The following is a 14,361-nucleotide window of genomic DNA, read 5'->3' on the forward strand; positions in this document are numbered from 1 at the left end:
CTGGAATTAAATAGTGATGATGGTTGCACAACCTCATGAATGTACCAAGAACTGACATATACACTTTAAAGTTATAAATTTTATAGTATGTGTGTGAATTCTATCTCAATAAAAAGAGAATGTTAAAATATTATAGAGGGGCATTGCTAGGCATTGTTATATATCCTTAGAATAAGAGAAATGAACAGATAAAATCCTGTATTCTCATGGTACTTATAATCTGGGGAAGGGGAAACAGACAAGATAAATAAATAAGGTAAGTATTTTAAATAGTATTTTAGATAGAGGTAAGTGCCAAGGAAAAATAAAAAAGCAGGAAATGGACAATATATGACAAATGACATTATTTCTTAAACTCATAATTGTCTCCAAGACTTTAAAAACAAGAAAAACAATTTCATTTTTATAAATGACCTCCAGGTGGTGTAACCAGTGGCGTATGATATTTTGGAGGGCAGGAACTCTATGATATTCACGATTTGTGGCCTTTAGTTCATGGCATCTGTGGGTCTCACAAACATATGTGGAAGAGTAAAGTAAAGATTCCGTTTACCAGGGAGGCTGGAGCAGGAGGATGGCTTCAGCTCGGGAGTTTGAGGCTGCTGCGTGCTATGACCATGCCTGTGAATAGCTGCTGCTCTCCTGGCTGAGCAACATAGCAAGACCCTGTCTGTTTGTCTGTCTGTGTCTCTCTCTCTCTATCTATCTATCTATATATATAGATAGATAGATAGATCTAGGTATAGATATAGATACCTATATAGATATAGGTATAGATATAGATATAGATATATGCAATGCGTTACAGTGAGCTAATGTCTACTGCTCATACTGAATTTGTTTCAGTTTTCACATTCAAGCAATAACCCACGAGATGATATTGCTACAGAAGCATATGAGGATGAGCTAGACATGGGCCGATCTGGATCCTACCTGAACAGCAGTATCAATTCAGCCTGGAGTGAGCACAGCTTGGATCCAGAGGACATTCGGGTAATGCCAGTACTCTATCTTTCTTCCTATTTCAGATTAGCCTTATTTATACAGGCAGGCGTGTGTGGGTTGGGGTGCGTGTGTGCATGCATGTACACTCATGTTTGTGCATGTATGTCTCAGAAAGAGGGAATGTGTTTGGGTATGAACTGAAGATGTCAAATGCAGAGTTAATCCAGTTCTAAAATATATGAACCATAGTATAAATTAGAATGCACAGGCCATTTCAACTTTTATAGTAACCTGGTCAACCTCAGTAGTCTTAACTGACTTACTGGTATTCATAGTGTTGAACTGATTAAACGTGTTCCATAATACATGTTTATAACATCTTGCTTAGGGAAAGGTAGGATAGATCTGTGGAGCAGAGAGGAGAGCCTGGATTATTTAAAATAATCTATGACGACATATCAGCATCTGAAGGAAGCAGATGTTTTTAGTAGTCAACGGACTATTACCCTCTAAGCCTAATCTAACATCACATGTAACTTTATCAATGGCTGCATGATTCTTCCAATACTACTCAGGGATATGGTTCACCTATAAACAATATGCTGTGTTTTGTTCTGGTCCAGGCTCAGTCTGGTCCTCACAACTTGAATGTACAAAGTGCTTGCTCCTTGATGCAAGGTTAGAATACATGAGTTCGTGTCTTAAAGTCCACACTTTATGTGAAACAAAACACAAAAGAATCAGAAAATACAAATCAGAAAAGTACAAATCAGAAGGTGCTTGCTCCTTGAAGCAAGGTTAGAATACGTGAGTTCATGTCTTAAGGTCCACACTTTATGTGAAACAAAACACAAAAGAATCAGAAAGTACAAATGGTGAGAAAATCGACAAGTACATATGTCAGAGAAAGCTGTAGAGCAGTTGCCCCAAATTAGAGCCCAAGTTTACTGAATTCCAATACCATGTAGTGATCTTCTATGACTGGAACACTAAATTCTACACTTCTTTGAATTTGCTTTTGTTCTGGCAGGACGAGCTGAAAAAACTCTATGCCCAACTGGAAATATATAAAAGAAAGAAGATGATCACAAACAACCCCCACCTCCAGAAAAAGCGGTGCTCGAAGAAGGGCCTAGGTCGTTCCATCATGAGACGCATTACGGAGATCCCAGAGACAGTCAGCCGGCAGTGCTCTAAAGAGGACAAGGAGGGCGCCGACCATGGCACAGCCAAAGGCACTGCCCTCATCAGGAAGAACCCCCCAGAGTCTTCAGGGAACACAGGGAAATCCAAGGAGGAGACCCTGAAAAACCGAGTCTTCTCACTCAAGAAATCCCACAGCACTTATGACCACGTGAGAGACCAAACGGAAGAGTCCAGTAGCCTACCCACAGAAAGCCAAGAGGAGGAGACAACAGAAAATTCCACACTGGAATCCCTGTCGGGTAAAAAACTAACACAAAAACTAAAAGAAGACAGCGAGGCTGAGTCCACGGAGTCGGTGCCGTTGGTGTGCAAGTCAGCAAGCGCTCACAACCTCAGCTCAGAGAAGAAAACTGGGCACCCACGAACATCGATGTTACAGAAGTCTCTCAGTGTCATAGCAAGCGCCAAGGAGAAGACTCTTGGATTAGCTGGGAAAACCCAAACAGCAGGTGTGGAAGAACGCACTAAATCCCAGAAACCTTTGCCAAAAGATAAAGAGACAAACAGAAATCACTCAAATTCTGATAACACAGAGACTAAAGATCCTGCCCCCCAAAACTCAAATCCTGCGGAGGAGCCAAGAAAGCCTCAGAAATCTGGGATTATGAAACAACAAAGGGTCAACCCCACCACTGCCAATTCTGACCTGAACCCAGGCACCACCCAGATGAAGGACAACTTTGACATTGGGGAGGTGTGTCCTTGGGAGGTTTATGACCTGACCCCTGGTCCTGTGCCTTCAGAATCAAAAGTTCAAAAGCACGTATCTATTGTGGCTTCTGAAATGGAGAAAAACCCCACTTTTTCCTTAAAGGAGAAATCTCACCACAAGCCTAAGGCAGCTGAGGTTTGTCAGCAATCCAATCAGAAGCGCATAGATAAGGCTGAAGTATGCCTTTGGGAGAGCCAAGGCCAGTCCATTTTGGAAGATGAGAAGCTTTTGATTTCCAAGACTCCAGTTCTCCCAGAGAGGGCAAAAGAGGAGAACGGAGGTCAGCCTCGTGCAGCCAATGTGTGTGCTGGGCAGAGCGAAGAACTGCCCCCCAAAGCTGTAGCATCAAAAACAGAGAATGAAAATCTCAACCAAATAGGACACCAGGAAAAAAAGACATCTTCTTCTGAGGAGAATGTGCGTGGCTCCTATAACTCAAGTAATAACTTCCAGCAACCTTTAACATCACGAGCAGAGGTTTGTCCTTGGGAGTTTGAGACCCCAGCTCAACCAAATGCTGGAAGAAGTGTAGCTTTACCTGCCTCTTCTGCTCTAAGTGCAAATAAGATAGCAGGGCCTAGGAAAGAAGAGATCTGGGATAGTTTTAAAGTGTAGCATCTCCAGGAAGAAGAGGAAAAGGAGGGAACCCCGGATTGGATATGAGACAGAAGATATAAGAATCAAATATTCCCAAGGAGGATTTGTCAATCAAGGAAAACATGACAGATGGTGAGGTAAAGTCAAAGGCATGGGTAGAAGAGGACCAGGGGGGCAAGAGCAACAACGTCATAATGGAGAAGTCAGACTTTGGTCAAGAAAGTCCTTCCCTTGGTAACACTAGGAAAATCTTTCCATTTCAGCATGTTTAAGGAAAATAGCCCACAATGTCTGCCCTGATCAATATGTATCCATGGGACTTTGAAGATCCTAAGCCAGGTAAACCAGGAGACACAGAAGACGTACCAGATTTGCAAAGAAAGAAAAGGTATAAGACATATATAACTGAAATTCTAAGTAGCTGACCGAGAAGAACTTACTTTACCTATTTAACCTTGATAGCACTGCTAACTTAATGCATCCCAAAAATATCTTTTATATTAATGATTGCTCTCATTTTCTTATAAATGTATGTTTCAGTATATCGTTGTGTCTCATATTCAAGCATTCCAGATTGTATAATTTTTGCAAATAACTTTGGTATTATGTGACACAACACATTTATGCAATCTGCAGCTATTCAATTGTTATTGCACCTTACAGAATACCTGCTATCTATCAACTTTAGTTGATTCTTGAAGTACAGTAAGCTTTCTCTGGCTTGGGAAGCCATAACTGTTACTATAAAAACTTTTAGTTTTGGCTGTGGTTTATATATTGTGACTTTGAATTTGACTCTATTATTTCACATCATGGTTTGTTATACTGTCTTAATCAGGGTTTTTTATACAAGTTGAGTTACTTGTTTTGCACTTCTTGTTAGGACTCAGAAGCTTTATTAATATTGGAGATCAAGTGGTCCTACTTAGTCATATGTCTCAATAAGTTAAGGACAACTTATCCGTTGTTTATTCAAAGTCAGAGATAGATAACGCCTTCATTCCAATTAATTGTCCCTTTTAACTCTTTCAGTATTTCCTACTTAGCAGCATTTCCAAAGGAAGAAGCTAAGAGTGAGAAAAATATACCGTGCATTATTATTACTATTGGAAAGGGAAGACTCTAGGGATGACATAAGAATTATAGCAGTACTATAAACCCAGGAAGTTTGCCTTTCAAAAAAAAACACAGGTAGCTCCTGATAGCACTTTCAAGGGATTATTTTTTTAAAGAGAAAAATTATGGTAGCATCAAGATCATTGTATGGATATATTTTTATTATGTGTACTGAAAATACAGTATTTTAAAATACCTTAAAGTATTTATTCTCATAAACTCTTATTCATTGCTTCAGCTACAGGTAGAACTTGCTGGGCTCAAATCCCAAAGAGGTTTTATAACCTTATTTATTCAAAACCTATAAGGTGGTATGGAATCTTCATTCTCCCAAGCACTGGAAAATGTCTAAGTCCTGCAAATTGCCATTGTGAGCCACTTGCTCGACATGTAACATGTAAGGTCCATTTGCAAAGCAAAGCAGCCCCCAAAGCATATTTTATAAAGCTTATTGCATTCCACACTGATCTCTTGGCATGGGAATCCTAAGCTGCCGACTAAGCCCTACCGACATGATCATGCAGTGAGATTCCAAAGCTCAGTCTCATTTCATTTAAAGAAGAATCACTCAGAAATAGAACCGAGACTTCCCTTTTTCTCCCTGTAAACACCCAAGTATCAACTGCTTATTTGGCCAGGACACTCCCAGCACAAATAACTATTTTTTATGTCACAAGCAGCAAGGAGGACATGCTAGGGTGATAAAAGATGGAGAAACAGGATCAGAGGGTGGATATAGGGCTGTTCTTAGAGAGTATTTTCAGTGGAAGGTAAAAACAGAATTCTCCATATTCATCATCAAATTTTTCTCAGTGATTTTTTTATTCAGGAGTAAGCAAGCACTTCACTGTTTCACAAAGCTGTGCGCAAATCTTCCTCACCCATTTGCTGACTTTATGCATTACTCAGGTTGGTGGGGTCGGTTTGAGAAGATATAGAAATTCTATTTTTGTGTCTTTACACCATTTATTTCTTTTATCTCTTCCTTTTCAATGAAGGCCTATATGCTTGGTGACCTCCTTTAAGGAATCTTTGTGAACTGGGTTGGAAGTTCCTAGACCCACATATTTGTTTCATTTATGTCTGAAATCTGTTAGCACTTGATTCCTTTCTTGAGAATTATGCAGTCAAGCATCAGTGACTTTCTATTGCACTTCAGGATTGATCCTGCTAGAGATGTGAGTTAAAAAGACTTGCCAAATTATATCTTAGCGACATTCTATAGTTCATAGATTATTCTCCACCAGCATAAATCAGTGAGAGTGCCTAGAGTCTTTCTGAGAGTTTCATTGCCATTATCAACAAGAGAAGTTGAAATTTACAAGTCAGGAGGTTATTTTTCCAGATTGATAACCATAGAAAGTGAATAAACACTTTTAAGGTCGCAAACATTTGCTAGGTTGTCCTTCTCAATGCATGTGCAGGCTGCATCCTGTCCTTGTTTTTAAGCCAGGGTTTATAAATAAGTAGATTTATACCAATCTTAATAGAATTGTATATTTTATGCAAGAATTAAATGCTTTACAACATGAAGTATAACTCAACCCATTGTAAACTTTGGTGGCAATATGGATTTGAAACTCGACAGTTCTCTTGTATTTGCTTCCTAGGTTTCTGCATGCAAGTTATGACAGGTAGGACTGAAAAAACACTGCCTTTTGACTTCTAGCATTTAGCAACCGAGAGTCGTAGAGTCAATAAAGCTGTAAGTGTCTTCACTTAATCTGTGGTTCTCCTAAAACTATTATCTGAAACCTACAGCATCCCACCATGAAATATTTGGTAAATTTATGTTGTGACGTGTTGCAGCATGTAAATAATTATAACTTCTCTGCAATAAAACATATTTATATGAAAGTGATTTGTGGGGATTTGTGTGTTCATCTATAGAAAACTGAATTTATTTTGTCCAACTTTAAAAGAAATTCCATATATTTGTTTGGCTCTGGTATCCTTGTGCACATACATCCTCATATTGCCAGTCTATAGGAATATGTGATTAGCCAAATGTGGCCTCAAACACACAGGTAATCATTTGGAGGCAATCAAAACTATTTGTGGTTTTCATTTAAGAAGTCTCTTCCCAAATGGGAACTAACTCAGCTACCTTTTTTCTTTGCTTGTTTACTCCACACACAGTACCAGGAAATCTGCTAAGGAGTGATGATACAAAGATAAACAACCCCTTCAGGAACACTCAGGCCCATGAGAGTATCCAGTCACTGGTATAACAATATGCAGATGAGCATAACTAAGGTCAGGGAAGTCTCACTAGAGAGTTCAGGGTCACCAGGCCGAAAATCTGCAAAGGCAACAAACAGGTATCAAAGGGAAACTGTTGTAAGGCTGGAGAAGTAACTGAGCACAGACTGCACGCCACGCTTCAGGTTAACTGCAGCTTCATCCTGGAGCACTGGAAGCTATTGGGAAGCTTTTAAAAGTGGCATAATGAAGTCAAAAATTAGATCATTTTGGAAGCAGCCCTGAAATGAACTGAAACGGGAAGGGACTAGAGGCAGCTAAAAACGATTAGTGTGAGAGGCATGATGAGAGAAGATGAGAGCCTAAAGAGGAGATGGAAAGATTCGTGTTTATTTCATCAAAATCACATCTCCAATTGGGTTTACTATTTTATTATAAGCATGTGAAATGGGAAAAATCAGGTTACTTTAGATAACTGTCAAATACAAATTTTTTTCTGAGTTTATTGACATTTTGGCTAATTTCAAAAGCCTCGAAAGCCCTTTCTGAAGACTGGTAGACCTCATATCATCTGTTCACGAGAAAAGCTGATGAACAGGATCCCAGGTTCCTGCTATGGGAAAGCTTGGTACTAAACTGGGCTGGGAAAGATGGCGCTTGGGGCATGTGCAATGTGGACTGAAGTTTCTACCAGCTCAGAAGAGCTCTAGAAAGACAACCAGGCCTGAAAAGAGGGAAGGGGAGAGAGCTGGTCCCCCACCTTATCCCTGCACCCCTCTTTCTTTGGATGAAGCACAGCAACTACCTTTTCCCATCTGCTCATACCATTGCCACTTACAGAATTTTCAGTTATTGCTGGACTTGCCTAGTTGACCTGTGTCTGGCTATATTATTTTTTCATATATATTGTTTCTTTGTTCTAAATTTAGAATCTTTCTGCTAAAAAAATACCTAAGGGAAATCAGAAATAGGCTTTATCACATAAAAACTAATAATGAAAATCTGGTGTCCTAAAACAATGCAAGTTAGTTAAGATTTTCTTATATCAGCATATTCCATCTTTTCCCCCTGAATAGTTGTAAAGACAGCAATCAAGTCTTTCTAATTTGGGTTGTTTTCTCTTTAAACATTTTGATTCTTAGAAAGTACAAGGGCAAAGTTCAAGCATCTTGTGTGTTCTAATTCAGCGTTAACTGGCTAGAAGGCAGATAATGAAATGTATGAATTGGTTTTTAATTTCCCTCTCTTTCCCTGTGATGTGAAAATTGCCAGAAATAAAACTGTCTGATCAAATGAACATGGAAAATAAGGGATAAATATAGGAAGAGGCCTGTGCTGCACAGCAGTCACATTCCTAGAAAGAAAAATAATTTAAATATGCAAATAGAAAGTCCATGCCAGTTCTTGTAGAACATACTCCCATTTCAGTTCCATCAGCAATAGAAAAGAAAAAAATGCCCTCAGTTGTGCACACAAGAGAAAGATTCATGCAGTTTTTTCTCCAGATACACCAAGAGGTTTGATTCTTCCATGCCTTTTGTGTTTGCTTGTTGGTCCAACTCAAATTTCCTCCCCTTCTTCTCCCTGCCAACATGTAATATACACTTTAATGCTAGAGTGATCATATATTTTATTGGCCAAAGAAAACCTTTGAGAGTAAAAGGGCAGTATTAAACTATACACCTGGCTGGGAACTGCAGCTCACGTCTGTAATCCCAACAGTTTGGGAGGCCAAGGTAGGAGGATTGCTTGAGGCCAGGAGTTCAATACCAGACTGAGCAACATAGCAAGACCCATCTCTACCAAAAAAAAAAAAAAAAAAAATTAGCTGGGCATGGTGGCATGTGCCTGTAATCCCAGCTACTCAGAAGGCTGAGGCAGGAGGATCCCTCAAGCCTAGGAAGTTGAGGATGCAGTGAGCCATGATCATGCCTCTGCACTCCAGCCTGGGTGATAGAGCAAGACCTTATCTTAAAAAAATAAATTACACCTGGATAACAGTGTAAACTGGGACTATCCCTGGTCACCCAGGATGTTTGTTTTCCCTAATTCAAGGAGCAGCACAAAGGCCCCTGTTACCTCCGTGAAACATTTCCTAATTCCTCAAGTCAGAATGAATTCCTTCTTCTTAGCTCCCCTTAGGAATTTACTTAAGTCTCTTACTGCACTGAGTTACAATTTAGTTACATGCTCCACTGAGTCATCTACTAAATTAGGAGCTCTATTCACGCATAGATCCCCAATCTCAAGCAGTGTGCTTTGCCCCGAGTTCAATAAATATTTGCCCAACTGGAATTTTTGATTACTAATCACTGCTTAAAATACACCTGAAGAGAAAGAAATTCAGAAGTTGGTGAGAACTTGCTGCAGCATTTCTAAAATGTTGTTTAACTGGACTTCCACGTAAATTCTGGCAGTTCCTGGAAAACCCACAGAGTATGATTGAATCATGTTAATTCTAACTCTCCAGCTTTGTAACGTTAAGTATTGATTTGCCACCATAAGGAAAGAGAAGCCTAAGGTTGCGGCCATGGCCCGGTTTGTTAGAGCTATAAAAGAGATTTCCATATGTCATAAAAAGTAAGAAATATTGCATTAGGCTGTAGGAACTTGAACTTGCTTTTAGTTATTTGAACTCCTTCTGAAAAATAAAGCATGGCTGAGTCTATATAAAACATCCACATAAAAACAGATTCTGATGCTCGGCTTTCAGATGCTTCTGAGAAGTGAGATAGAGTTTGAACAAACTATTTGGACATTTGGTTGACTTGAGAATTTCTTATCCATATGTTTCATGTTATATAGAAGTAGTCATAATATGCTTGCATATAACCCTAAGTGTTTTGTGAACAGAAATATATATGTTACATGTAAATACATACACACATATCACTTGTTGGAAATTGGGAAAATATATAAAAAGCATCTAAATTTGCCACATAGTACAGATATTAAAAGATCATGAAAAATATTTTTTCTTTTTACATCTCAAAGACTAATAGCAATATGCACATATGGTGAATAATTTACAAATTCGTCCACCTGCCTTTCATATTACATGCTGCTTATAATAAGTTGAGGAACTTTGATTTATTATTGTAGTCCTTAGACAAAATTTGATGATGGAACCATGTAAATAAATAGGGATTAAACCAGAGTCAAGAGGCAGCCAATAGGGGGTCCACTTTCTGACACATGAGAAAACTGGATATAAAGTTGTTTAAGAGCACCCAGGCACAAACTCAGTTTCGAGACCACTTGAATGAAAGGGTCCGCAGGTTGACTGCCCTGTAAACATTTGCTGGACCATGGGAAAGCTAGAAAGGCTATCATTCAAATATATAATAGACACTCATCCTCTTTACAGCAGCCTGTAAAGAAGGAGAGGAGTCATCTATTTTCTCAACTCTGATGGTATCCTACCTGTGCGGTCACCTGCCTCCATACACCTCCTCCTCCAGTGGTGAGGGTCACAGAAGGCATGGAAAAGCCAAGGCAAAGCATACCTCTCCTCTTGCTTTGTGTACCCACTTACTTTCATTAAATTTCTATGTCTTTGACTAAGTTTAAAAACATGGGCAAGGCGCAGTGGCTCACACCTGTAATCCCAGCACTTTGGGAGGCAGAGGCAGGCAGATTACCTGAGGTCAGGAGTTTGAGAGCACCTTGGCCAACATGGTGAAACCCCGTCTCTACTAAAAATACAAAAAATTAGCCGGGTGTGGGTGGTGGGCACCTGTAATCCCAGCTACTCCAGGGGCTGAGGCAGGAGAATTGCTTGAACTCAAGAGGTGGAGGTTACAGTGAGCTGAGATCAAACCATTGCACTTCAGCTTGGGCAACAAGAGCAAAACTCCATCTCAAAAAATATATATATATGTGTAATAGAAAGCATGAATTAAAAACACATTGAAACAAAAATCCTAAAACACATTTTAAAAAACCATGTGTAAGTTGGGAGATATTTGATAGATATTTTATAACACGCACAAATAGTGGTAAATACCGCTGATAAAGAACAGTAGGGGTCAGGCACAGTGGCTCACTCCTGTAATGCCAGCACTTTGGGAGGCTGAGGCAGGAGGATTGCTTGAGCTCAGGAGTTCAAGACCAGCCTGGGCAACATGGTGAAACTTTGTCTCTACAAAAAAATTCATAAATTAGCCAGGGGTGGTGATTTGCCCCTGAAGCCCCAGCTACTCAGGAGGCTGAGGTTGGAGGATTACTTGAGCCTGGAGGTTTGAGTCTGCGGTGAGCTACGATTGCACCACTGCACTCCAGCCTGGGTGACAGAGTGAGACCCTGTCTCAAAAAGAAAAGAAAAAAGAAAAATAACAGGATGGAAAAAAAATCAGGAGTACAAGAACTTGTTTTGAAACTTGGTTCCACTACCAGATATGTCTGGTTTGGAAAAGTCTCTTCAATTTTCTGTATTTACATTTCTTCGCCTGAACAAAGGAAGTTTTGAATGAGATGACATCTCAGGACCTTTCTCATCCTATGACTAAGATTGTGTGTGTGTGTGTGTGTGTGTGTGTGTGCATGTACACGCACATGCACACGTTTGTCTGACTGTAAAATTTCATTTTGCATTAAATTGCTTTGCTAGAATGGATATAGCCACACAACTACGCGACTTAACATCTATTCAAACATTTGGCAATTTTAGAATCAGCTAGAGAAAGAAGACACACACATGAAAGGGAGCAGAAGTGTGATAAATAACCTCCAATCCCCCTTGATTATATATATATAAAATACTAAGATATATGAAGTTCTGGGGAAAAACAAAGTCATAGGAAATTTGCTTCAAAAAGCAAAATGAAGCCAGAGTGAAGTCCTGAATGAGAAGAGGCCGGAAAGCGGTGTGCTTTCTGGGTCCCGTTTTCTTGCTCTGTCTCACTATGATTCAGTCTTTGCTGGGAATGGATAGTTCTACTTCTTCACACAGAAGTGGCTCTTAGTGTCCTTCATGTAGCATAAGAAGCTGGGCCAAAACATTTTTGTAAGACTAAGTTTTAAATGAAGTTCTTTACTATCCTAAAGGTTAATAGAATCAAACGTAACTACGTAGTAAAGTTTCTGGATGATTAATCCAGGAAGCGTCAATTTTGTATGACAAATGTCTATCCTTCCAAAGTGACCCCAGGAATACAAACCATATTCTCCCCTAGGGATCCCTTTAATGCCAATTTGGAGAATAGACTAGTATCGCTCATCAGAAATAGCATAAGTAATACAAATAATGCTCTACATTTTGCTTTCTTCACATAATTGTTTGAAACTTTATTACTTGATTTAAACATGAAATTGATGTAGTTTTTCTGAGATTTGGCTCATTTTACATATATTTATTCCATTTCATTTCTTATCTATACATTAAAGGAGAACTCTTTCCCCAAGTCCAAAAATCACACACATACAACATGATCCCCTTGCATTCTGCTTCTACAGCGGTTATTCCCTGCTGTTTCATAAAGCTGTATTTAACTTAAGAAATTATTGTTATTCTTTGATCACAAAGAATAGGTAAAATACTAGGAACAGAGCAAACATGCCTCCCCCAAAAGCCTGCATTATGTAAGCAATGAGTTTAGTTCTCCATAAAGATAAGAAAATACTATTTCAGGCAGCAAATTTAACAAGGAGGTTAAATTTAGAATGAAATTTTTATTATTTTGAAATTCCTTTTTAGTTTCCAATACAAATTCATGAAACTCAAGCTGCTGGACTATTTGGCCTGGGACAAGAACACACTGAGCAGCAGCCATAGCATGGGCCTGAATTTTATTTATTTTTATTTATATATTTATTTTTATTACACTTTAGGTTCTGGGATACATGTGCAGAACGTGCAGGTTTGTTACATAGGTATACATGTGCCATGATGGTTTGCTGCACCCATCAACCCGTTATCTACATTAGGTATTTCTCCTAATGCTATCCCTTCCCTTGCCCCTCACCCCATGACAGGCCCGGGTGTGTGATATTCCCCTCCCCGTAAAACCATAAAACCCTAGAAGAAAACCTAGGCAATACCATTCAGGACATAGGCATGGGCAAAGGCTTTATGACTAAAACACCAAAAGCAATTGCAACAAAAGCCAAAATTGACAAATGGGATCTAATTAAACAAAAGAGTTTCTGCATAGCAAAAGAAACTATCATCAGACTGAACAGGCAACCTACAGAATGTGAGAAAATTTTTGCAATCTATTCATCTGACAAAGGGCTAATATCCAGAATATACAAGGAACTTAAACAAATTTACAAGGAAAAACAACCCCATCAAAAAGTGGATGAAGGATATGAACAGACGCTTTTCAAAAGAAGACATTTATGTGGCCAACACACATGAAAAAAAGATCATCATCACTGGTCATCAGAGAAATGTAAATCAAAACCACCATGAGATACCATTCTCATGCCAGTTAGAATGAAAATCATTAAAAAGTCAGGAAACAGATGCTGGAGAGGATGTGGAGAAAGAGGAACACTTTTACATTGTTAGTGGGAGTGTAAATTAGTTCAACGATTGTAGAAGACAGTGTGGTGATTTCTCAAGGATCTAGATTTTTATTTTTTTAAGTGTTTTAGTTTTTCTTTTTGTGGGTATATAGTAGGTGTATGTATTTATGGTTTACACGAGATATTTTGATACAGGCATGCAATAATAAAAACATCAAAGTATATGGAGTATCCATCACCTCAAGCATTTATTCTTTGTGTTACAAAGAATGCAATCATGCTCTTTTAGTTATTTTAAAATGTACATTTTTTTTCTTTACTATGGTCACCCTTTTGTGCTAGGAAATAGGTCTTAATAATTCTAATTATTTCTTGTACCCATTAACCATCCCCCCACTCCCCTCCCCATCCCCCCTGCCACCCACTACCCTTCCCAGCCTCTGGCATCCATTCATTTACTCTCTATCTTCATGAGTTCAATGGTTTTAACTTTTAGCTCGCACAAATAAGTGGGGACATGCAAAGTTTCTCTTTCTGTGCCTGGCTTATTTCACCTAACATAATGACCTCCAGCTCCATCCATGTTGTTGCAAATGACAGGATTTTATTATTTTTAATGGCTGAATAATACTTCATTGTTGATATGTATCACAATTTCTTTATCCATTCATCGTTGATGGATGTGTAGGTTGTTTCAAAGTTTTGGCTACTGTGAACAGCAATAAACATGGGAGTGCATGTATCTCTTCAACATACAGATTTCCTTTCTTTTATGTATATATTTAGCAGTGTGATTGCTGGATCATATGGTAGTTCTATTTTTAGTTTTTTGAGGCACCTCCAAACTGTTCTCCATAGTGTTTGTACTAATTTACATTTCCACCAATAGTTTACAAGGGTTTCCTTTTCTCTACATTCTCACCAGCATTTGTTATTACCTGTCTTTTGGATATAAGTCATTTTAACTGAAGTGAGATGATATTTCATTGTCGTTTTGACTTGCATTTCTCTGATGATCAATAATGTTGAACACAATTTCATATACCTGTTTGCCTGTGTATGTCTTCTTTTGAGAAATGTATATTCAGATATTTTGTCCATTTTTAATAGTAATA

At 38.7% G+C, this 14,361-nt stretch overlaps 1 protein-coding gene across 3 annotated transcripts in view; it reads left to right on the forward strand.

Annotated features, from left to right (window-relative positions):
• Window positions 1-6,433, forward strand: part of GPR158 (G protein-coupled receptor 158) — a 427,229-nt gene extending 420,796 nt beyond the window's left edge. For 2 of the 3 annotated variants that reach the window (NM_020752.3, XM_017016452.3), the window contains 2 exons: window positions 847-993; window positions 1,976-6,433. In NM_020752.3, coding sequence (NP_065803.2) covers window positions 847-993; window positions 1,976-3,478 — 1,650 coding nt within the window. In that variant the 3' untranslated portion in view covers window positions 3,479-6,433. The remainder of the gene's footprint in view (window positions 1-846; window positions 994-1,975) is intronic. The other variant, XR_930512.4, reaches the window with a different exon arrangement.
• Window positions 6,434-14,361: the final 7,928 nt, after the last annotated feature.

Source organism: Homo sapiens, chromosome 10, assembly GCF_000001405.40.
Source record: "Homo sapiens chromosome 10, GRCh38.p14 Primary Assembly".
Lineage (NCBI taxonomy): Eukaryota > Metazoa > Chordata > Mammalia > Primates > Hominidae > Homo > Homo sapiens.